The sequence below is a fragment of the Homo sapiens genome, chromosome 19 (assembly GCF_000001405.40).
Source record: "Homo sapiens chromosome 19, GRCh38.p14 Primary Assembly".
Classification (NCBI taxonomy): Eukaryota; Metazoa; Chordata; class Mammalia; order Primates; family Hominidae; genus Homo; species Homo sapiens.
In genome coordinates, this window is record NC_000019.10 from 56,900,359 (window position 1) to 56,924,428 (window position 24,070).

The window sequence follows — 24,070 nt, forward strand, 5'->3', positions numbered from 1 at the left end:
GATTGGTATGGTCACTCTTACTTTACTGACAAGAAACCTGCGTACAGAGGAGCTAAACCACCATCCCAAGGCCATAAAACTACTGCGAGTCTAAGCCAGGATATGTCTGAATATGAAGACTCCTCTGAATGCTGGGTCCCAGAAGCACTAAGCTTGGTTATGAACCTCATGGGCTCTACATAGCTTCTCACCAAGTTGGGTCCTGTTGAGCCTATTGTGCAAGGAAGGAGACCAAACACCCTGGAGGTTTGCTCACCTGGCCTGAGTTACCTGGCCGTGGAAGGCCCCTGGGCTCAAGTTCCCTGAGAGGCAGGGGTTAAACCATGTGTCCTAGAACCTCAGCTTGCATCCCACCCTGGAATTTTCCTCTGAGTTGCAAAATCAGGCAAGCTGCCAAGCCATATATACATTGCCGGGTAGCCAGGCAACACCGTGCTTTTTCTGGGAAGGAGCACAATGTGGTCACTGTGCTGCCGACGCCAGGTTCCAGATGGAAGAAAGACTTTAATCCCCAGCTTCACGGCTGTTTGGCACACTTCGCTCCTGAAAGCCTGCTCGGGCCAGTTTTCACTCTGACTCTCCAGTGAGGCCATTTTGTCTCATTCCGTTTCTGATGTTTAAATGTTAATCCTTTACAAGTTGGTTTTAGTGGAGTAGGAAATGGCGGAGAAGGCTGGAGGTGGATTCAGATGCAACAGGGATGGCACTTACACCTTTCGATGAAAAAGACGTGTGATTCCGCGATTTTGCAGTTGTGAATTGTGCTGCTATACGCATGTGTGTGAAAGTATCTTTTTCACATAATGACTTCTTTTCCTCTGGGTAGACACCCAGTAGTGGGATTGCTGGGTCAAATGGTAATTCTACTTTTAGTTCGTTAAGGAATCTCCACACTGTTTTCCATGGTGGCTGTACTAGTTTACATTCCCACCAGTAGTGTCGAAGTGTTCCCTGATCACAACATCCATGCTAACATCTACTGTTTTTTGATTTTTTGATTATGGCCATTCTTGAAGGAGTAAGGGGGTATTGCATTGTGGTTTTGATTTGCATTTCCCTGATCGTTAGTGATGTTGAGCATTTTTTCATATGTTTGTTGGCCATTTGTATATCTTCTTTTGAGAATTGTCTATTCATGTCCTTAGCCCACTTTTTGAAGGGATTTTTTTTTTTTTTTTTGGTTACTGATTTGTTTGAGTCCATTGTAGATTCTGGATATTAGTCCTTTGTCAGATGTATAGATTGTGAAGATTTTCTCCCACTGTGTGGGTTGTCTGTTTACTCTGCTGATTGTTCCTTTTGCCATGCAAAACTCTTCAGTTTAATTAGGTCCCAGCTATTTATCTTTGTTTTTATTGCATTTGCTTTTGGGTTTTTGGTCATGAAATTCTTGTCTAAGCCAGTGTCTAGAAAGGTTTTTCCAATGTTATTTTCGAGAATTTTTATAGTTTCAGGTCTTAGATCAATCAATGAGTGAATAAACAAACTGTGGTATGTATATATATACGATGGAATACTTCTCAGCCATAAAAAGGAATGAATTAACAGCATTTGCAGCAACCTGGATGAGATTGGAGACTATTATTCTAAGTGAAGCAGCTCAGGAATGGAAAACCAAACATTGTATGTTCTCACTGATATGTGGGAGCTAAGCTATGACGGCAAAGGCATAAGAATGATACAATGGACTTTGGGGACTTGAGGGGAAGAGAGGGAGGGGGGCGAGGGACAAAATACAACAAATATGGTGCAGTGTACACTGCTCGAGTGATGGGTGCACCAAAATATCACAAATCACCACAAAGAACTTACTCATGTAACCTAATACCACCTGTACCCCAATAACTTATGGAAAAATAAAATAAAATAATAATAAAAAAAGAAAAAATGTGTGAGCAAAATGATTAATAGGCAAATGATAGAAGAAAAAGAAAAAGCCCATGAAGTTAGAAAGAGAGGCATCACTTCTCGAGTGAACAGGAAATGGAAATCAGGACCACATAATGTCAAGTTTAACTCTCAGAGTGATGTAAAAATGAAAATCCTAGGGCTGGGCATGGGTGGCTCACACCTGTAATCCCAGCACTTTGGGAGGCTGAGGCAAGTGGATCATGAGGTCAGGAGTTTGAGACCAGCCTGACCAATATGGTGAAACCCTGTCTCTACTAATGTGCAAAAATTAGCCGGGGGTGGTGGCACACATTTGTAATCACAGCTAGTTGGGAGGCTGAGGCAGGAGAATCACTTGAACCTGGGAGGCAGAGGTTGCAGTGAGCCGAGATCGCACCACTGCACTCCAGCCTGGGTGACAGAGTGAGACTCTGTCTCAAAAAAAAAAAAAAAAAAAAAAAAATCCTGATAAAGGCCAGTGTTGGTGAGGGTGGGCAGAGTAAGTGTCTGCTGTCATACGTGGCAATGGGAGACATTTAGGGTATGACCTCTCTGAGGTGATTTTATGGGACTTGCCAACATTTTGACTATGTATGACCCCCCCAACACAGCAAATGTGTTTCCACTAATTAATCTTGCAGAAATACTCAGAGAAGTGCACATTTTAAGGCGAGAATTGCAAAATATTGGAGATTCTCTGTCTATCAATATAGAAATGGTAAAATAAATGGTGTTGCATCCATACCATTGAATCTTTTGCAGAAAAGGTTGATGCAGAGATGTGTGTTTCAGCATAGGAGGTTGCCTTGCCTGGGACATACTGTTGGGTCAAATAGGGAAAAAAATTAAGTTAGTGAATGATATATAGAGTCTGAATTCAATTCTGTTGAAAGAGTATATATGTATATATATGTTTGTATTTACTTATATTTTTAAATACACCAAGAACATTTCTGGACTTTGTATTTTTTTTTTTTTTTTGAGACAGGGTCTTATTCTGTCACACAGGCTAGAGTACAGTGGCACAATCACCCCCTGTGGTCTCAATCACCGCCTCTGGTCTCCTACCTCAGCCCCTTCACCTGTGGAGTAGCTGGGACTGCAGGCGTGCACCACCACGCCTGTTTTTTTTTTTTGTTTTTTTTTTTTGTAATGATGGAGTCTCACTGTGTTGCCCAGGCTGGTGTCAAACTCCTGGGGCCAAGCGATCCTCCTGCCTTGGCCTCTCAGAATGCTGGGATTATAGGTGTAAGCCACCATGCTCATCCAGAAAAATAAAATATTAATACTGGCCATCATTTTAGGATTAAAAAGTTGTCAAAAATGCACTGTTGGTTCAAAAAACAACAAAGGGCAAGTTGCCATGCTGTATGTAGAATATTATTTTATGTCTATAAAAAAGACACTGTGTGTGAGCATGCATGTGTACACACAAACACAGATACTATATATACATCCTTTGTACAAAAATTTAGAGAAGGTAAAAGCAAGAAAACCTTGCTAGTGATTGGCCCTGTGGGATTGGGAGAATATTTTTGCTTTTTTGCTTTCTATATTTCTATATAGTTTGAAGTTTCTCAAAGGTTGCATTTTTTTAATTTAAAAAAATTATTTAAAATACCTTTAAGAAACTGCCATAGTCCTACTACCCTAACAGGAGTAATTTTAGCAATTTTCTGTATGAATCTCTCCCTCTCTATATATATCTTTCTTTCTCTATACCCCCATCTATATACACACATATACACCTACCCAGTAAGTGAGTTGTTATCCCTTAAACCCCCTCCCATGGGAGAGTCCCCCCTTTTCTGAGTCATCAGTGTCCATTATACCACTCTGTGTGCCTTTAGGTACCCATAGCTTAGGTCCCACTTATAAGTGAGAACATACAGTATTTGGTTTTCTGTCTCAGTTACTTCACTTAGAATAATGGCCTCCAGCTCCATCCAAGTTGCTGCAAAAACATTATTTCATTGTTTTTCATGGCTTAGTAGTATATTCCATAGCATACAAATATACCATATTTTCTTTATCTACCCATTGACTGATGGGCAGTTAGGTTGATTCCATTTCTTCGCAATTGCAAATTGGGCTGCGATAAACAAATGAGTGCAGGTGTGACTTTTATATAATGACTTTTTTTTTTTTTTTTCAGATGGAGTCTTACTCCATCACCCAGGCTGGAGTGCAGTGGCTTGATCTCGGCTCACTGCAACCCCTGCATCCCGGGTTCAAGTGATTCTCCTGCCTCAGCCTTCCAAGTAGCTGGGACTACAGGCTCCCATCACCACGCCTGGCTAATTTTTTTTTAGTATTTTTAGTAGAGACAGGGTTTCACTATGTTGGCCAGGCTGGTCTCAAACTCCTGACCTCATGATCTGCCCACCTCAGCCTCTTTTCCTTTAGGTAGATACCTAATAGCGGGATTGCTGGAGGGAATGGTAGATCTACTTTTAGTTTTTTGGGAAATCTCCATACTGTTTTCTATAATGGTTTTACTAGTTTACTTTCCTACCAACAGTATCTCAGCATTCCCTTTTTACCACATCCCCTCCAACATCTATTGGTTTTTGACTTTTTAAAAATGGCCATTGTAATTGAGGTAAGGGGTATCCCACTGTGGTTTTAATTTGCATTTCCCTGAACTTCTTTTTTTTTTTTTTTACTTTAAGTTCTGGCATACATGTGCAGAATATGCAAGTTTGTTACACAGGTATACATGTGCCGTGGTGGTTTGCTGCACTATCAACCTGTCATCTAGGTTTTCAGCCCTGCATGCATTAGGTATTTGTCCTAATGCTCTCCTTCCTCTTGCTCCCCAGCCCCTGACAGGCCCTGGTGTGTAACGTTCCACTCCCTGTGTCCATGTGTTCTCATTAAAACTTCTTCTTTTTAAAAACAGTTTTGCTGAGGTAAAATGTCATCAAATAGACTCTGCATAAAGTGTACAATTTGGTAAGTTTTGACATCTGTCTGTACCCGTGAAATCTTCACCACAACCAAGGTAGTGAACGTATCCATCACCCTCAAAAATTTCCTTTTGGCCAGGCGCCGTGGCTCATGCCTGTAATCCCAGCACTTTGGGAAGCCGAGGCAGGTGCATCGCCTGAGGTCAGGAGTTTGAGACCAGCCTGGCCAACATGATGAAATTCCGTCTCTACTAAAAAATACAAAAATTAGCCAGGCGTGATGGTGGGTGCCTGTAATCCCAGCTACTTGGGAGGCTGAAGCAGGAGAATCGCTTGAACCCGGAAGGCAGAGCTTGCAGTGACTAGAGATCCCGCCACTGCACTCCAGCCTCGGTGACAGAGCGAAACTCCATCTCAAAGTCAGCAGCAAGAGGTCAGGAGTTTTTACTCCCTCTTCAATGTTTTATTCCCAATATTTAGATCAGTGCCTGGCATATAGTAGATAGTCAAATTGTAATTTGAATAAATCCTAGCTTCCTTTTGCTACACCAAGGCCCACAGCTCCTGCTGGTAGCTTTACACTAAGAACGACTGCGGTCTGCCAAGATCATGTGTGCACGTGCCTCCGGGCAGCTGCATCCAAGGACGTGATTAACTGCTAAGCCCCCCTGGATCTATGCATTCCTTGGTCAGCACATTTTCTTCCCAGTAAAGAGGCTACAGACCCAGCAATGTTATGTAATCCCCACCACACCCCATGTGAGACAAATCCTCTAATCATTTCAGATGAAAGATTTGAAGCACAGAGCCATTAAGGATGGATCAAGGTTGGACATGAAATTGGCGTGGTTTTATGCAGTGGATGGTAACCAGGACCCAAAATAGGATTCAAGAGAAGTCTATTTGGGGGTGGAGCAGTGGAGGCAGGAACCCAAATATAAGAATGTCATGCTGTGGGCCATCAGTCAATGGCATTTGGGGTCTAGGGGTGAGAGAAGGATCTGGGCTACAGCTGGCGTACCCTGATGGCGGCTGGGCCTGTGGCTGTGGCTGAATTATCTCAGAAGAAATGAATTACCTCAGAAATGATAAAGGAGGATTAGGACCATCCACACCCTTGGTGGAATGCCTGAGCTCTGGTGGAAGCAATATCTGTTCAGACGGATCTCAGCTCAGTACGCAAGAAAAACCCACCACAATGGCTTCAATGAGTAAGGGATTTATTTTTCTTCTGTAACTGGGGGTGGACTGTCATAGCTCACTGACTTCATCAGGGATTCAGGCTCCTTTTTTCTTACTCTCTCCGCCTTTCATAGCACACGGACTTTCATAACACACAGACATCTTCCTCATGGCTGCAAAACGGCTGTGGCGCTTCCAGGCATCACATCCGTGTTCCAGGCAGAAAGAAAGGGGAAAGACCAAAACCCTTCTCCTTACAAAGCTTTGCTTTTTATTTGAGAATGGATGGCAAAAGGATTTTCACCCACGTCCCACTGGCCAGAACTGTCTCACTTGCCCCATTTATACAGCTGCAAGGGTTTCTGGGAGAAAATATTTTTGACTGAGCACATTGCTGCTGTGGACAGAATCAGAGGTTGTTAACATTAAACAAGAGAGAGAGTGGAATGCAGAGCAGGAAGGCAAGCAGAATGTCTGGCACAGTCAGTAGCAAAGTGAGGAGAGAGCTTCGAGAAGAGGGGTCTAAGCAGGATCCTGGAAGTGAGGTGGGTCTCCAGAGGGAGTGCTGAAGGTATTTTCATTTCAGGAGGCAAGATCTGGAGGAGCGTTGGGAAGGGAATCGAAATAGCTCTCAAATGCCCTCACTGCCACCCACTAATGGAGACATGATCGTTCCCCTTCTGCAGATGGCAGAATGAAGTCTTACAGACGCTAACAGGCCCTTGTCACTGTGGTAACTTCCTGAAGCATTTATATACTTGAATAAGTAGTCAATACACGTGATACAAACCTTTTATTTAAAGCACAAAAGAATACGTATTAGTGAATTTTCCTTCCCATCGCTGTGTCCCAGCTCTCTTCCCTGGAGGCAACGACGGCTAACAGTTACAGTTGATCTTCATTATTTGCAGATTCTGTGTTTGCAAATGTACCTACTCACTAAAATGCATTTGTAGCCCCTGAATCCATATGCACAATGTTTTCATAGTCATTTGTGGATGTGCGTAGAGCCGTGAAACATTCGAGACCCTCACTGTACAGGTTCCCAGAGAAGGTGGACCGAGGTCTCCGCCTTCTTGTCTCAGTTCTCATATTGTAAACAACTGTCCTTTTGGCCGTCTATTTAGTGCCACATTTTTTGCACTTTGGTTGGTGATTTGGCTGTTAAAAATGGCTCCTAAGCATCGTGCTGATGTGCCGTCTGGTGTCCGTAAGCGCAGAAGCTATGATGCGTCTTATGGAAAAAATCTGTGTTAGATGAGCTTTCTTCAGGCACGAGCTATAGTGCTATTGGCCATGAGTTCAATGCTAATGAATCAGCAATATATATTAAATAAGGTGTCTGTAACCAAAAACTCACATAAAGCAAGGTTTTGTGTGAATCGGTTGATGAAAATGCAGGAACCTGAGTGTGTTAACCTTTTTTTTTTTTTTCATTTTCTGTATTTGTGATGCTTTGACATTTGAGAATGTGCTGATCCCAGAGAGCCTGCCTCTTCCAGGGCCAGCCAGTTCCTAGAGATTGAAACAGTAACCTAGGAGTGCACCTCTCTCATGCAAACCGGTCAGTCTGGAAACCTTCCTTCAAACCACATCCTTCAACTACCACCTTTGTGGGGCTCCCACAAGTGACCCACATCCCCCATGCCCTAGTATTGCCTCAAGTCCAGGTACCAGACAACTAGTGGCAGCTACACCCTGGAGCCTGCTGAAATTATTCCAATTTGCCAATCTGAAGGCTGCCTACCCCCAACTGGTTCCTTCCCAAGGAGACCATAATAAAGTCCTGTGCCTTCCTTTCTCCTCACTCCTCTGTCTCCCGGCCAACCCTGGTGCTTCCCCATGTTCCCCCATGTGGCATGCTGTGCCTCTGGGTTCCAGGGATCTGTGTCTATGAATCTGTTCCTTCACAACAATCATTTCTGTGCCTGCCTTTTTTTTTTTTTTTTTTTGAGACAAGAGTCTCACTCTGTCACGCAGGCTGGAGTGCAGTGGCTCAATTTTGGCTCACTGCAACCTCCGCCTACTGGGCTCAATTGATTCTCCTGCCTTAGCCTCCTGAGTAGCTGGGATTACAGGTGCCCGCCACCATGCCCAGCTAATATTTGTATTTTTAGTAGAGACAGGGTTTCACCATGTTGACCAGGATGATCTCGATCTCTTGACCTTGTGATCTGCCTGCCTTGGCCTCCCAAAGTGCTGGGATTACAGGCGTGACAATTTTTGTATTTTTAGTAGAGACAGGGTTTCACCATGTTGGTCAGGATGGTCTCGATCTCCTGACCTCAAGTGACCCACCCACCTCGGCCTCCTAAAGTGCTGGAATTACAGGTGTGAGCCACCGCGCCCAGCCTATGCCTGTCTTACCATGCCTGATTATACCAAATCCCAGGAACATTTCAACACTGACCCTGTATATTCCCTAGAAGCAATGGTTCCATATTGCTAATTCAGTGTCCACAGTGACGTTATAGAACACATAGCTACCCTGAATAATCAGAATCGACTGTTTGTATTTATCCTTCCAGAGATGTTCTGGACCTGTGCCAGGTAATAGATTTCTTTCTATTTCTTTTTTTTTCACCACATAAATGTATGCACATTATAGATGCTATTTTGCATGTTGATTTTTTTAAAAAATTGACAAATAACAATTGTATATTTCCATGGGCTATAGTGATGTTTTGATACATATAATGTATGATGATCAGATCAGGGTACTTGGCATATCCATCACATAAAACATTGATCATTTCTTTTTTTATTTTTATTTTTATTTTTTGAGACAGGGTCTCACTCCGTTGACCATGCTGGAGTGCAGTGGTGCAATCTCGGCTCACTGCAACCTCCGTCTCCTGGGTTCAAGCGATTTTCCTGCCTCAGCCTCCTGAGAAATTGGGACTACAGGACAGGGGCCCACCACCATGCCTGGCTAATTTTTGTATTTTTTTAGTAGAGACAGGGTTTCACCATGTTAGCCAGGATGGTCTTAATCTCCTGACCTCATGATCCGCCCGCCTCAGTCTCCCAAAGTGCTGGGATTACAGGCATGAGCCACCGCACCTGGCCTATTTTTATTTTTTGAGACAGGGTCTCACTCTGCTGCCCATGCTGGAGTGCAGTGGCACAGCGATCACAGCTCCCTGCAGCCTCGACCTTCCAGGTGCAGGAGATCCTCCCACTGCAGCCTCACAAATAGCTAGGACTACAGGCACATGTCACCATGCCTGGGGATTTTGCCATGTTGCCCAGGCTGGTCTTGAACTCCTGGGTTCAAGCAATCTGCCTGCCTTGGCCTCTCAAAGTGCTGGGATCACAGGCTTGAGCCACCACACCCAGCTGCCACAATGATCATTTCTTACTGTTGGGAAACTTCAATATCCTCTTGCTAGCATTTGGAAATGTTATGTTATTGTTCACTGTAGTCATCCGCAGTGGTATAGAACACTAGAACTCATCCATCTTGTCTGCATCCTAGTTTTTAAACCTAACCATGTGTCTTGGTGATTGCCCACTGTGTTAGCTTGGGTCTTCCGAGAAGTAGGCGCCAAAACAATATTAGATGTGTAGGGGATTTATTAGGGAAAAGATCTGTAAGGGAAAATGAGGAATGAGCTGGAGGAGTCTGGAAAAGTTATTGAATTTGGATGCCACCACACCCGACCCTGTTATCACTATTTTAACCCTAACTTGTACACCACCAGGAGTTCCAGTGGCAGTTTGCTTTGTGACCAGTTTCTCTCTTTCACAATCACCACAGGCTATGGATCCCTGGACATCTTTCTAGTCCTTGGCAATCTCTCTCTTCCAGTACCAATCCACAGGCATTCCATCTTTCCCAGGGTGAACAGGGCTATCCAATTAATTCCCCTTCTTGCAGGACTTGGCATTATAGCCCATAGGGGAACTGGAATTGCCTCCTTAACCTATAGCCAGCTCTCGAAGGAAATAGCCAACAACATTGATGCCATGGCTTGAACCTTCGCAACTGTGCGAGAACAAATAGACTCTAGCAGCTGTAGTCCTCAGAAATCATTGAGGACTAGATATGTTAACAGCAGCACAGGGAGGAATTTGTTTAGCCTTAGATGAAAAATGTTGCTTTTGGGTAAGTCAATCGGGAAAAGTACAAGACAACATCAGACCTGGACGGATTCGCTGCTGGTAACATACTTGGCCCATATTTTGCCCATAACAGCCTGGCCCAGGGCTGGGTGGTCGAGTAGACAGGCCTCGGGTGGCAAACTGCAGTGCTGGGAATCGGACCAGTTCACCTGATTCCCGGGGGGCTGCCTTTGGTATTCTGAACACGCCGCCAGGCACAAAGCGCTGGATGTTGGGTGTCTCGTTCACCTCTCACTGCCTTCTACGGATTTCAACACATAGCATCATGATGGGACCACAGCTCTGAGAATGACAGAAGCACCGATCTCCATATCACATGACTCCTGAGTAGAGGAAAATGGATTTGAGCTAAGGGCAGGTGAATTAAAAAGTTGGTGCAAATCAAGACAAAGCAGTTTGATTGTTAACACATGGCCCAGTTTCCGAAGGCAAACTCAGCTCATCAGCCTACTGTGGGATTTTCCCCTAGGCTGAAAAGCCAGGTTTGATTCCAATAAACGTATACATTGCAGTGTAATTAGGCAAGGGAACAGGGTTCTTGGAGCCACAAAGCCCCATGGTCAGTATTTGGGTGACATCTACTTCCTGACTGTAAACAGATTTAAATATACCATCTGTTTTGCAGATATTTCTCAGAACCTGTTTTTAATCAGTTTTTCTCTCTAATTTTCGGATACTGACAATCTTGTTTTCTTTTTCTTTATGTGTTTTAAAAAATGACATAAACCAGTATTGCTTTTATTTTTTTCATGTGCTTGGCTTGATTATTTTAAGCTAATTTATATACCTTCATTCGTTCCGTAACAGCCAAAAGTGAAACTTTTTTTTCCTGTTTCTTTTGTCATCAAGGCACAAAGAATAACAGCTTTCAAAATAGTCTTTGGTTTTGTCCTTTAAATGGTAGAAGGTCATCATTTTGTTTTCGCTTTTGTATTTCTATTTCTGATAGATAAATAGACATAGAAAAAATGATGTACAGAAGTTGGCTAAATTGTGATAATATACTCTTTAATTTCTGTTAACTTTGGATAATTCTAATAATGTTTCTTCTTGTTTTGAGTTTTTTTGTTTGTTTGTTTTTGAGACAAGGTCTCCATAGAGTGAAGATTTACTCTGTCACTCCCTGGAGTGTGGTGGTGCAACCACGGCTCACTGCAGCCTCAACTTCCTGGGCTCCAGTGATTCTCCCACGTCAGCCTCCCAAGTAGCTGGGACTATAAGCATGCACCACCGTGCCCAGCTAATTTTTTGCATGTCTTTATAGAGACGGGGTTTTGCCATGTTGCCTCAGCTAGTCTTGAACTCCTGGGATCAAGTGATCCACCGCCGGCCTCGACCTCCGAAAGTGCTGGGATTTCAGGCGTGCACCACTGAGCCCAGCCTGGGCAAATTCTTATGTGGGGGTCATTTATTACCATGTCTGTTATTGGATCACTGCTATTTGACAATTTAGGGCAGAAATATCAGAAAATAGGGAGGCCTTGGAGGCTTCCTCTTGTTCGTGCTGTGAACTGTTGGGTGTGTGCTCACAAATTCCAAATGAGGACGGAATAAATTAGCTCGGTTTTGGGATGCCATTCGAAGCTCCTTTATAAAACTTGGAAAGTTGATTTAAGAGATATTTCTCTTTCATTGTTTTATTTTTAATTACAAAAGCAGTAGATTTTTTTTGGATAAAGAAATTAGTTTCCCTTTCACATTCCAAACCAATGTTCAAAGATTTGCTGGTTTCTGCCTCCTTCTTTCTGCTTCTAGAGCTGCCTCATGATCCAATGTGGTTCTTCTAATTATTTGCTTAAAAATGCTCTTAATGTTTTTTGCCTAACCAACTTATTTTTAATTTTGCCCACCCTTTGCCATTCCCTACCCCCAGGCCCGTACGTCTTTGCCCGATTGCTATTGAGGTGCACATACTTTCAGCAGCCTGTGCCATTTCACAGGGCACCACGAGCAGGCTGGCGTCGGCCTCCTTCATTGATGCCACCAGTCACTTTTTATTACCTGCCTACGTTCCAGACCAGGTTCCCTCTATTTCCTGAAGATTAAGACCCTCTGAGTGTCACTCTGCCCTGCTAAATCAGTTCCGCTCATAATCCTCTGCTTAGAAATATCTACAGGGTGGACTGGGTCACGACCGACATCACCATCTGACAGCTGTTACAACTCCGTGCCCAAACTAAACTTTTCACTAAACACTTCTTTAGGGGACACCAAGGACCTCCTCCCAGCCCTGCCAAATTAACTCACTGAATACCCATTTGCCAAAAGCTGGTTCTCCAAATGATCACATTTTTAAAACTTCCCAATTTGCTGGTTTATCCCAAGTTGTTTTTCTCAAAACAACAACAACAACAACAACAACCCCGCCCACACACACACACATTAGAAACATTTCATTTCACTTCTTTAACAAATGTTTGTGGGGTTTTTACTACACACAAGGTGCCAAAGTGTTGGGGTTAAAGTAGTGAGTAAGAGAGCAAATGTTCTCATCCTCATGGAACTCCCAGGCCGGTGGAGGAAACAGGCAAGAAGGACATAAATAAATATGTAACACAGGTGGTCATGGAAACATGTAGAGCACCCTGAGGCAGCAAGAAGAGTGGGCATCAAATAATATAATAACATATATGATGTAGTATTTATATAGTATAATACTATGTGATGCAATACAATGTATAATGTACACAGTATAAAAAATACCATTTGCAGCCGTAAAAAAGAATGAGTTCATGTCCTTTGCAGGGACATGGATGAAGCTGGAAGCCATCATTCCCAGGAAACTAACACAGGAAGAGAAAACCAAACACCGCGTGTTCTCACTCAAGTGGGAGTTGAACAATGAGAACACATGGACACAGGGAGGGGAACATCACACACCAGGGCCTGTCGGGGTGTGGGGGAAGGGGAGGGAGAGCATTAGGACAAATACCTAATGCATGTGGGGCTTAAAACCTAGAAGACAGGTTGATAGTGCAGCAAACCACCATGGCACAGGTATACCTATGTAACAAACCTGCACGTTCCGCACATGTATCCCAGAACTTAAAGTAAAATTAAAAAAAAAAAAAGACAGTTGACTCTTGAACAATGTGGGGAGTTAGGAGTGCTGAGTCCTGTACAGTTAAAAATCTACAGATAGGCTGGGCTGCAGTGGCTCATACCTGTCACTCCAGCACTTTGGGAGGCCAAAGTAGGTGGATCACTGGAGCCCAGGAGCTTGAGACCAACCTGAACATAGAGAGACACTGTCTCTACAAAAAATACAAAAAAATTAGCCAGGCATGGTAGTGGGTGCCCGTAGTCCCAGCTATTCAGGAGGCTGAGGTGGGACAATCGCCTGAGCCTGAGAAGTCGAGGCTGCAGTGAGCTGAGATCCTTGCACCACTACACTCCAGCCTGGGTGACAGGCAGAGTGAGACCTGTATCAAAAAAAAATAAAAATAAAAAAAAAGGAAATTCATGGAGAACTTTGGACTCTCCCCAGACTTAGCTACTAATAGCCTACCAAAGACCAGCAGCCTTACCAATAACACAGTCAATTAACACATATTTTGTATGTTAAATGTATTATATACTATACTCCTGAAGTAAAGTAAGCTAGAGAAAAGAAAACGTTATTAAGATAATCATAATGAAGAAAAAATATGTTCACTCTTCACTAAGTGGAAGCAGATCATCTTAAAAGTCTTCATCCTCGTTATCTTCCATTAAGTAGGCAGCGGAGAAGGAGGAAGAGGAGGGGTTGGTCTTGCTATGGCAGGGGTGTCAGAGGCAAAGAAAACCTGTATATAAGCGGACTCGCACATTTCAAACCTGTGTTGTTTGAGGGTCAACTGTATAGTATATAATGCAATATAATATGTAATATAGGCCAGGTGTGGTGGCTCACGCCTGTAATCCCATTACATTGGGAGGCCGATGTCGGGCAGATTACCTGAGGTCAGGAGTTCGAGACCAGCCTGACCAACATGGAGAAAAACCGTCTCTACTAAAAATGCAAAAAATTAGCCGGGCATGGTGGTGCATGCCTGTAATCCCAGCTACTCGAGAGGCTGAGGCAGGAGAATCGCTTGAACTCGGGAGGTGGAGGTTGCAGTGAGCTGAGATCACACCATTGCACTCCAGCCTGGGCAACAAGGGCGAATCTCTCCGTCTCAAAAAAAAAAAAAAATATATATATATATATATAAAATATAATATATAATAGATATGATATAATGTAATATGTAATGTAGTACTACATAATACTATAATATGTAATAATATAGCATATAATAATATTGCTTAGGGAGTAGACTTTTAGTGTTCTTATCGCAAAAACAAAAGTATGTGAGATAATGCATATGTTAACTAGCTCAATTTAGCCACTTCACAATGTACAGATTTTACAAAACACATACACAATAAGTACATCTAATTTTTGTTTGTCAATTTAAAAATAAAATGTTAAAGAAAAATATGCCATAAAACAGAACAGAATGTAATATCATCTAATATGTGACATGATGATATGATACGGTCATGTGTTATGCAATGCAGTAATGTGTAATATGGTTTAGAATAATACAGTGACCTGGCCAGGCATGGTGGCTCACGCCTGTAATCCCAGCACTTTGGGAGGCCGAGGCAGGCAGATCATGAGGTCAAGAGATCGAGACCATCCTGGCCAACATGGTGAAACCCTGTCTCTACTAAAAACACAAAAATTAGCCAGGCATGGTGGCGTGCACCTGTAGTGCCAGCTACGCAGTAGGCTGAGGCAGAAGAATTGATTGAACCTGGGAGGCGGAGGTTGCAGTGAGCCAAGATCAGGCCACTGCACTCCAGCCTGGGAGACAGAGTGAGACACCATCTCAAAAATAAATAAATAAATACAATAGAGTGACCTAATGTAATTTGTTGGGTGGTGGAAAGAGTAGAGCAGGTGGAGGGAGTGGGGAGTAGTGCAGAGGCGGCTGATGTGGTCAGCTGATGTAGTCAGGAAGGCTCCTCCAAGCAGGGGACAACTGCCCCAAGACCCGAAGGATGTACTCATTCTACCACAGCAAGATTCTGGGGGAACTGCAGAGGGAACCGGAAGGGCACAGTCTCCCTGCAGAGGCACAGAACATGCTCAGGGAATGGAGGGAAGCTTGGTGTGGTGGGAATGGAGTGAACAAAGGGGAGATGGGAGAAGGTAAGAGTAGGCTGAAGAAGAGCAATGGATCTCATGGGACCTCATGGGACCTCGCAGGCACAAGGGAGCCGTCTGGATCTTGTTCCCAGCACGATGAGACCCTTGGATCTTCTTCAATGTTGTGACGTCTGGTTTCTGGATCTGGTTGCCCCTGATCCTCAGTGTCCCTTGGTTTGCAGCCACAGGGCTCCAAGCTCTGCCTCTAACATCACAAGGCATGCTCCTCCCTGCATCTCTGCGTGTCCTCTTCTCTTCTTATTGGGACACGAGTTATTGGATGTGGGACCTTCCCTCATCTGCTGTGACCTCATCTAAAATAATGATATCTGCAAAAATTCGATTTCCAAATGAGGCCACATTCTGTTCTGAGTGGACATGAATTTCGGGGGACCCCGTTCCACCTAGTACAGCTAGGAATTGGCATGGGCTGGACGGAGTGAGTGTGGGTAGAAGTGAGAAAATGCTCACTGACATGGAAGGAAAACCCAGAGAGTTTGGGATGTGCAAACCAAACGAGGAAAGATTTTAGCAGAGAGGACGAGGTCTAAGTTGTCATGTGTGGTCAACAATTGGATCTGATGAAGACTAAGGACTGGATTGTTTCTGGCAAAGTGGAGAATCCTGGGGAACTTGACAAGAGTAGGTCAGTGTGGGTTGGGAATGGAAGCCAGATACCCATGGGCTCGGGAGAGAGGGAGGGGAGAGAGTTGAGGGGAAGGAGCAGAGAGATGCCTTGGATGTGTTTTGCCTATGAAGGGGCAGTGGCTAGGGAGGAACTTAAGATCTAAAAAGCATTTGTTTTTTTAAGATGGAAGACAACACAGTATGTGGGAATGTTGATGGGAAGATCTCATGCAGAGAAGGAAATAGATCGGTTGATGCCAGCAAGAGAAGATGACAAACTGACTTTCCGATGAGCCACAAGTGATGGGATGCGCTGTTCAGGGGGAGGAGTTGGAAAGAGGATTTGCCAAATGGACAATTTGCCAAATTATGGATCCACTGTAAATGAATTTCTACTAAATATTTGTAAACATTACACAAAATCATGCCACCATGGGATGGTGTTAATGGACTTCAAGGGTAACTCTTCTCTTTCTTTTCTTTTCCTTTCCTTTCTTCCTCCCTCTCTCCCTCCCTTCCTTCCTTCCTTTCCCTTCCTTCCTTCCTTTCTTTCCCTTCCTTCCTTCCTTTCCCTTCCTTCCTTCCTTCCTTCCTTCCTTTCCTTTCCCTTCCTTCCTTCCTTTTCCTCCATTCCTTCCTTCCTTTCCCTCCCTTCCCCTCTTTCTGTCTTTCTCTCTTTCTTTTTTCCAAGACAGAGTCTTGCTCTGTTCCTCAGGCTGGAGTGCAGTGGTACGATCATGGCTCCTGCAGCCTCCACCTCCTGGGCTCAAGCAATCCTTCCACCTCAGCCTCCCCAGTAGCTGGGATCACAGTTGCACACCACCACGCCCAGCAATTTTTTGTAGAGATGGGGTTTCTCCATGTTGCCCAGACTGATCTTGAACTCCTGGGCTCAAGCAATCCTCCTGCCTCAGCTTCCCAAAGTGCTGGGATTACAGGTGTGAGTCACTGCACCCAGCCAGCTTTGATGTTTTAGTTTCATTTCAGCTGAAATTAAATTTGGTTTCACTGTAGATTTTGTTTCACTTTGGCAGATTTATCTCAGCTCTGTAGCTGATTTGCAAATCAGGCTCAAAGACGCATCAGATTTAGGTGTAATTCTCATTATAGGCACTGAGCATTTCTCAGATGTCTTACCCATGTTGAAAACATTTGTGTGATCACACTGGGTAACATATCTGTTAAGAGAATTTCAAAAGACAGGAGTGAAAATGAGTTGGATAATAGAAACCTGTTCTACCTTTTGTATTACGCTTGGTGGAAGCATCCCGAAATTCTCATTTTAAATATAAAAATCCTCAGAACACACTGAACTTCAGTTTGGCTACAATGAAGCAGCTACAGCCAATGTAAAGCTAAACTAAAATCTGCCAAAAAAATGAAACGAAAACTTCAAGTCAGATCATTTAAACAGCACAGAAGTTTCCAGGAACTCCCTTACAATTGGGATCGCTGTAGCTGTCACAAGGAGTTAAAGGAAACATGCTTCTGTCGCTGTTAACTAGCTGCATCCGGTGAATTGGGCAAATTTGGCCATTCAGGGAATTAACCATCCACAAAAGTAAATAAATAAATAAATAAAATAAGCCAGTCATTTGAAGAACTGATTTTCAGGGAATTTATTTAGCGTTGGTAATGTCTAAAAGTTACATGTGTGGTTGTTGGTTTTATGATTATCTTTAATGCATTCCGATGTATATTTATATATACGATCTTCTCCATGCCTGACATATTTCACGGTAAGATAAAGAAATTCCCGTGGCTTATAAGGAATGGAGACTGAATTTGAATTCAAGTTGTTTAGAAAGAAATGGATGAGCACTGAACCCACATATTTGAATTTTTTAAAAGTCCAGCTGACAGATGTTGAATCAGCTTATCCCCCTGCTGGAGAATTTTGCCCCAAGGTAAAAGCAAGCTTTGATTTCAGCACCGTATGCATCGCAGTGAAGTTGGGCAAATGAATGGTGTCTTCCATACACAGCACTACGTGTTTGGCATACGGAATCCCTCCCTTGCCCAGCAGTAAACAGACTTGAATACACCATCTGTTTGCACACCAACTGTTTGCAAGGAAATTTTTTTTCCTTTTCTTTTTTTCTCTGTGAAGTTAATGTTGTGACAACTTTATATTTTCTTTTTTTAAAAAAACAGAAATCTGTGTTTGTGTTTACTTAGACCTGGGCTACCTTAGATGGTTCTCAGGCTCACTTATACACTTTCATGTGTTCCATTAAAAAATGTGATCGCTTTCTTTTTCTTCTGATTTTGGTTGCAAAGGCTAAGAACTTTCAGAACAGAATTTTGTTTTTGTCTTTAATACGGAGACGTTTCGTGTTGTTCTCTGGTTTTTCAGATGGGTGGACACAGAAAAGACAACTAATACCCTGAAATTGGTTGAAACTTGATTATTCATTCTTAAAGTCTGATAATTATAACTGTCCAGTAACTTGATAATTCCAGTTCTGTTTTCCTGTTTAGAACCTCTACTTTCTTATTTGAGAAAAAATGTTTGAGGATGTTATCTCAGTATGTGTTTACTTATCTTAGTACACATTCCCTTGAACTTTTCGCTTATCATGACCATTGAAATATCTTGGAACATCAGTGTTAGAAAAGCAGGAAGAACGTGGGAAACTCCCCCTGTGTGCACGGTGGGCCCCTCTATGAATTGCACCAGACAAATTCCAAACAAAGTGATGGAGAAAATCCCCCAAGAAAATTAGCAGTCTTTTTTATTCAAACTTTTTTATTCAAACTTTTTGTTGTACTGTGTCAACAGCTCTCTGGAGACCACCGTGTGCCCCTCCTGTTCCACAGCCACCCCAAAGCAACTGTTAAAGATGTTTTGTGGGCTGGGCACAGTGGCTCACACCTGTAATCTCAACACTTTGGGAGGCGGAGGCGAGCAGATCACCTGAGGTCAGGAGATTGAGACTAGCCTGGCCGACATGGTGAAACCCTGTCTCTATTAAAAATACAATAATTAGCTGGTTGTGGTGGCAGGCACCTGTAATCCCAGCTACTCAGGAGGCTGAGACAGGAGAATCGCTTGAATCCAGGATGCGGAGGTTGCAATGAGCTGAGATTGCACTCCAGCCTAGGCAACAAGAGTGAAACTCTGTCTCAAAAAAAGAAGAAGAAGAAAAGGAGGAGGAGGAGGAGGAGAAAGAAGAAGAAGAGGAAGAGGGAGAGGGAGAGGGAGAAGGAGATGGAGAAGGAGAAGAAGAAGAAGGAAGACGAAGAAGAAGAAGGAGAAGAAGAGCAGCTACCTTGACAGGGACGTCCACCTTGGAAGGTGACATGCTCTGGGTGAAAAGGAAAGTTGGTTTTATTCCAGAAGTGGCACCCCTGGGGAGGCGGTGAACAGTGGAGGCGTGTTCCAAGACCACCTCTCCACGTGTGCCTCCGGATCAGGGAAATTAGGGGAGCTTAAATGATGGTCAAAGTGCTTTTGGGAAACGTGCACGGGCTCAGGCGGACAGTTAATCGCGGCTTCCTTGGTCAATGTCCCTGGCCTTCTGCAGGAATGCTCAAGCTGTTCTTATCAGGGCGGTCAGCACATTCCCAGGGTGGCTGGTCAGCTGCTCTCTCTTTTATCTCTGTTGAAGGCCTTGTTCTCCGGAGGCTGTTTTTAATAAAGAAGCTACAAACTCGAGCAAAGCAAGGATTCTATGCAAGCAAGCAAGCAAGCTTTTCTCTAACACGGAGTCAGTACTGTGACACAACTTCACTGTCTTCATCCTGTCCAACTCCTCACCTTGGAAAGCCTCCCCTGCACCCCCATTGTTTAAAACAACCACAAAACCCTCTGCACAGCTTTCTTCCCCGAGTCCTCCTGGTGATTCTGCACCTCCTGGGTCTTCTCATTCACTGAACTGAGTGGGTTCCTTCTCAAAACCTGACCTTTAAATACAGACGTTTCTGAAGGACTCTGTCCGGGGCTCCTTCCCTTCCCTCTCCACATCCTCTCCTTGGTGGATTTCATGGGCCGCTTGGCTTTATATGCCGTCCATATGCCCCAGACTCCCTGCTGTAGACTGACTGTGTGCACCCATTCCCCATTCTTATGTTGAACTCTTACCTTCACTGTTTTCCACAATGGCTGAACTAATCTACACTCCCACCAACAGTCTGTAAGCATGCCCTTTTCTCTGCCACCTTGCCAGCATCTATTATTTTTTTACTTTTTAGCAGTAGCTATTCTGACTGGTGTGAGACAGTATCTCATTGTGGTTTTGATTTGCATTTTTCTTAATGATCACTGATACTGAGCTTTTATATATATATATACTTCTTGACCCATCAATCCCATTACTGGGTGTACACCCAGAGGAATATAAATCATTCTATCGTAAAGACACATGCACATGTATGTTCATTGCAGCACTATTCATGGTGGCAAAGACATGGAATCAACCTAAATGCCCATCAACAGTAGACAGGATAAAGAAAACGTGGTACATATATGCCATGGAATACTATGCAGTCATAAAAAGAGACAAAATCATGTCCTTTGCAGGAATATGGATGGAGCTGGAGGCCATTAACCTTAGCAAAGTAACACAGGAACAGAAACCAAATACCACATGTTCTCAATTATAAGTGGGAGCTAAGTGATGAGAACACATGGACACATAGAGGGGGAACAACACACACTGGGGCCTATGGTGGAGGATGGGAGGAGAAAGAAGATCAGGAAAAAATAGATAATGGGTACTAGGCTTAATACTTGGGTGATGAAATAATCTGCACAACAAACTCCTGGGACATGCATTTACCTATATCACAAACTGTACATGTACCCCAAACTTAAAAGTTAATGAAAAAGAGAAAGAAATGTTGCCCTCTAAGGTGATGGTGTTAGGAGGCGCCTTCCAGGACCGTCTACTCTAAGAGGATCTCCTGGGTTATTTGCTGTGTCTGCTTCTGTGGTCTGGCCTTCACAACACTTAGTACAGTTCCTACTTATTTTATTTACTGGCCTATTTCCTGTTTTTTGTTTCTCTCTATGACATAATATGAAATGGCCGGGCCCAGTGGCTCACGCCTGTAATCCCAGCACTTTGGGAGGCCGAGATGCGCAGATTGCCTGAGGTCAGGAGTTCAAGACCAGCCTAGGCAACATGGTGAAACCCCGTCTCTACTAAAATACAAAAAGAAAATCAGCCAGGCGTGGTGGCAGGCGCCTGTAATCCCAGCTATACAGGAGGCTGAGGCATGAGAATTGCTTGAACCCTGGAGGCGGAGGTTGCAGTGAGCCAAGACTATGCCACTGCACTCCAGCCTGGGCAACAAAGTGAAACTCTGTCTCAAAAAAACAAAAAAAAAAAGAAAGAAATACATATTTGGTTTCTGCTCATGTTCTGGGCACACAGGTTCGAATTGAAAAGTGTATTTGTTTGCTAGTGGTGACTGCTACTAGGGGCTCCCGGACAGCCTCAGGTTGGGGGTGGTTGCCGGGGAAATCAACCATGTGATTAGAGGGTTGGAGCTTTCAGGTCCCTCCTCGCCACGTTGAGGAGAAAAGGAGAGGGGCTGAAGGTTGTTGATCACCAATGGCCAGGGATGTAATCAATCATGCCTACATAATGAAGCCTCCATAAAACCCCAAAAAGGACAGGGTTTGGAGAGCTTCCAGGCTGCTGAACACGCAGAAGCGCTGGTGGGGTGGTTCGCCCAGAGAGGACATGGAAACGTCTCACCCCGTACCTTCGTAACTACAGCCTCATCCTCCTGATGCGATTTCACTGTTATGCTTATAGGACTTAACACGTTAATCACAGCCCTTTACTCTCTGTACACACTAATCACCACACAGCAAGGAATATTTACATACCACATCAACAATATTAAATCCTCATTCATGCAAGAAAATACCCCAATACCGATACACCTAACACCCCTTCTCCTATTATCCTTAAACCCCAAAATGATTTTGAGTTTTACATGCTGTTGTTATAGTTTAACCAAAACATTAGATCGTGGATCTAATAACAGAAGTCTACAATTTCTTATCTACCGAGAAAGTATGCAAGAACTGGTAACTCATGCCCCAATATATAACAATATGGCATTCTCAACTTTTAAAGGATTAGAGTTAACCATTGGTCTAAGGAACCAAAAACACTGGTGCAACTCCAAATAAAAGTAACAAGTACATTTTCCTCCCATACTGTAACACCCCTAATATCACTAATTTTACCAACTGCTGCTACCTTAACTGACATCTACTGTAGTGATTTGTACCCCAATTACGTAAAATCATCCATTGCATGCACCTTTGCCATTAGCCTCATCCCAACAACAATATTCATATACACGAGCCAGGAATCTGTCATCTCTTTATAATAAATGGATCATCTAAGTAACGTGGTTTCCTGAGTTCTGTGAGCCGCTGTAGCAAATGATCACACCCAAGCAGGGCATCGTGGGAACCCTGACTTATAGGCCATAGGTCAAAAGTACAGGTCCCAACTGGGGACTTGCAATTGGCATCTGAAATGAGGGCAGACTTGGGCTGAGCTCTGGCCTGGGCCTGTGGGATCTGACTCTAACTCCAGGTAGTGTCAGAACTGAATTTAGGCCAGGCGTGGTAGCTCATGCTTGTAATTCTGGCATTTTGGGAGGCTACCTTAGGCAGGAGGATTGCTTGAGCTCAGGAATTTGAAACCAGCCTGGGCAAGAAGGTAAGACCCCATCTCTATAAACAAAACTAAAAAAATTAGCCGAGTGTGGTAGCACATGCCTATAGTTCCATCTACTTGGGAGGCTGAGGCAGGAGGATCCCTTGAGCCCAGGAGTTTGAGGCTGCAGTGAGCTGTGATCCTGCCACTGCACTCCAGCCTGGGGGACAGAATGAGACTCTGTCTCAAAAAAATAAAAAAATAAGAACTGAATTTAGTTACGGGACACCCAGTTGATGTCTGCTGGAAAATATAGAGTAGAAAAAAAAAACCCCACACATTTGGCGTCAGAAGTGGTCTGTGGTGAGAGTACAGTAGGAGAATAAACAGTTGTACATGTTCCCTTCCTGGAAAAGTTATTTCCCTGCACTGAGGGCCTGCATTAATTAGGATAGGCTGATAGCACTGCGGTACAAACAATACCCAAACTTCATTGATTTCTTATTCACTCTATGTTCATTTTGAGTCAACAGAGAGCTCTCATCATTACAGTCACTCAGGGTCCCAGGTTGTTGGCACATCTACCATCTCAGTGTCTACTTTATGGAAAATCCAGCCTGCCACACTAGACTTGCCAACCAGAGCTTCTACCATGGTGTTTCCATGTGGCTTGGGCTTCCTCACAGCATGGCAGCCTCAAGGTTGTCAAACTTGTTACATAGTGGCTCCAGATTCCAAGTATGAGCGTCCTAGTAAATAAGACGGGGATGCATGGACATTTATGAAGCAACTCAGAAGTCACATAGCATTACTTCCTACCCTGTGGGTGAAGGTAGTCATGAGCCCACCCAGAGCGGGTACATAGACCCCACTTCTCAATGGGAGGAACGTCAAAGTCACATTGTAGCAGAGAATATGGAAAGAAAGATATTGTCATGGTCGTTTTTGTAAAACCGTCTGCCATGACCCCTGTCTCTCCTGGCTCTCTCCCTCAGCTTCGCTGGCCTTTTTTTTTTCTTCACTTCCTTAAATGCCCTAAGTGCTTTCTTACTTCCAGGACTTTGCTCCTGCTGTTCGTTTTGTGTTGTGGTGCTTTTTTTCCAGGAGCACTTCTTCCCAACACCTAAAGCACTCAGCTTCCTCATCCTCCTTCAGTCCTTACACCATCAGAGAAGACTTCCCTGACCGCCATAGTTGGGCCTGTGTCCCCTGATACTATCTTTCTCAGATACTGATTTGTTTCCATTGTAACACTTAGTGTAATTTGTAACTTTTTTTAATTGATTATTTGCTTTTCTGTATTATTTCCAACACGCAGAAAAAAATATATAGGGAATAATATAGTAAACACGACACCCAGATTTATCAAATCTTTACATTTTGCCATATTTATTTCAGAGCATTTTTTTTAAATTAGGCACAAATGTAGGTGAAGGTCCTTGTGCTCTCTTTGAAATACCACCCACGTTCCTCCAACACCGACATTTGGAATTGATCATTCTCATGTCTGTTCTTCCTACATTGCTGCTGAAAGT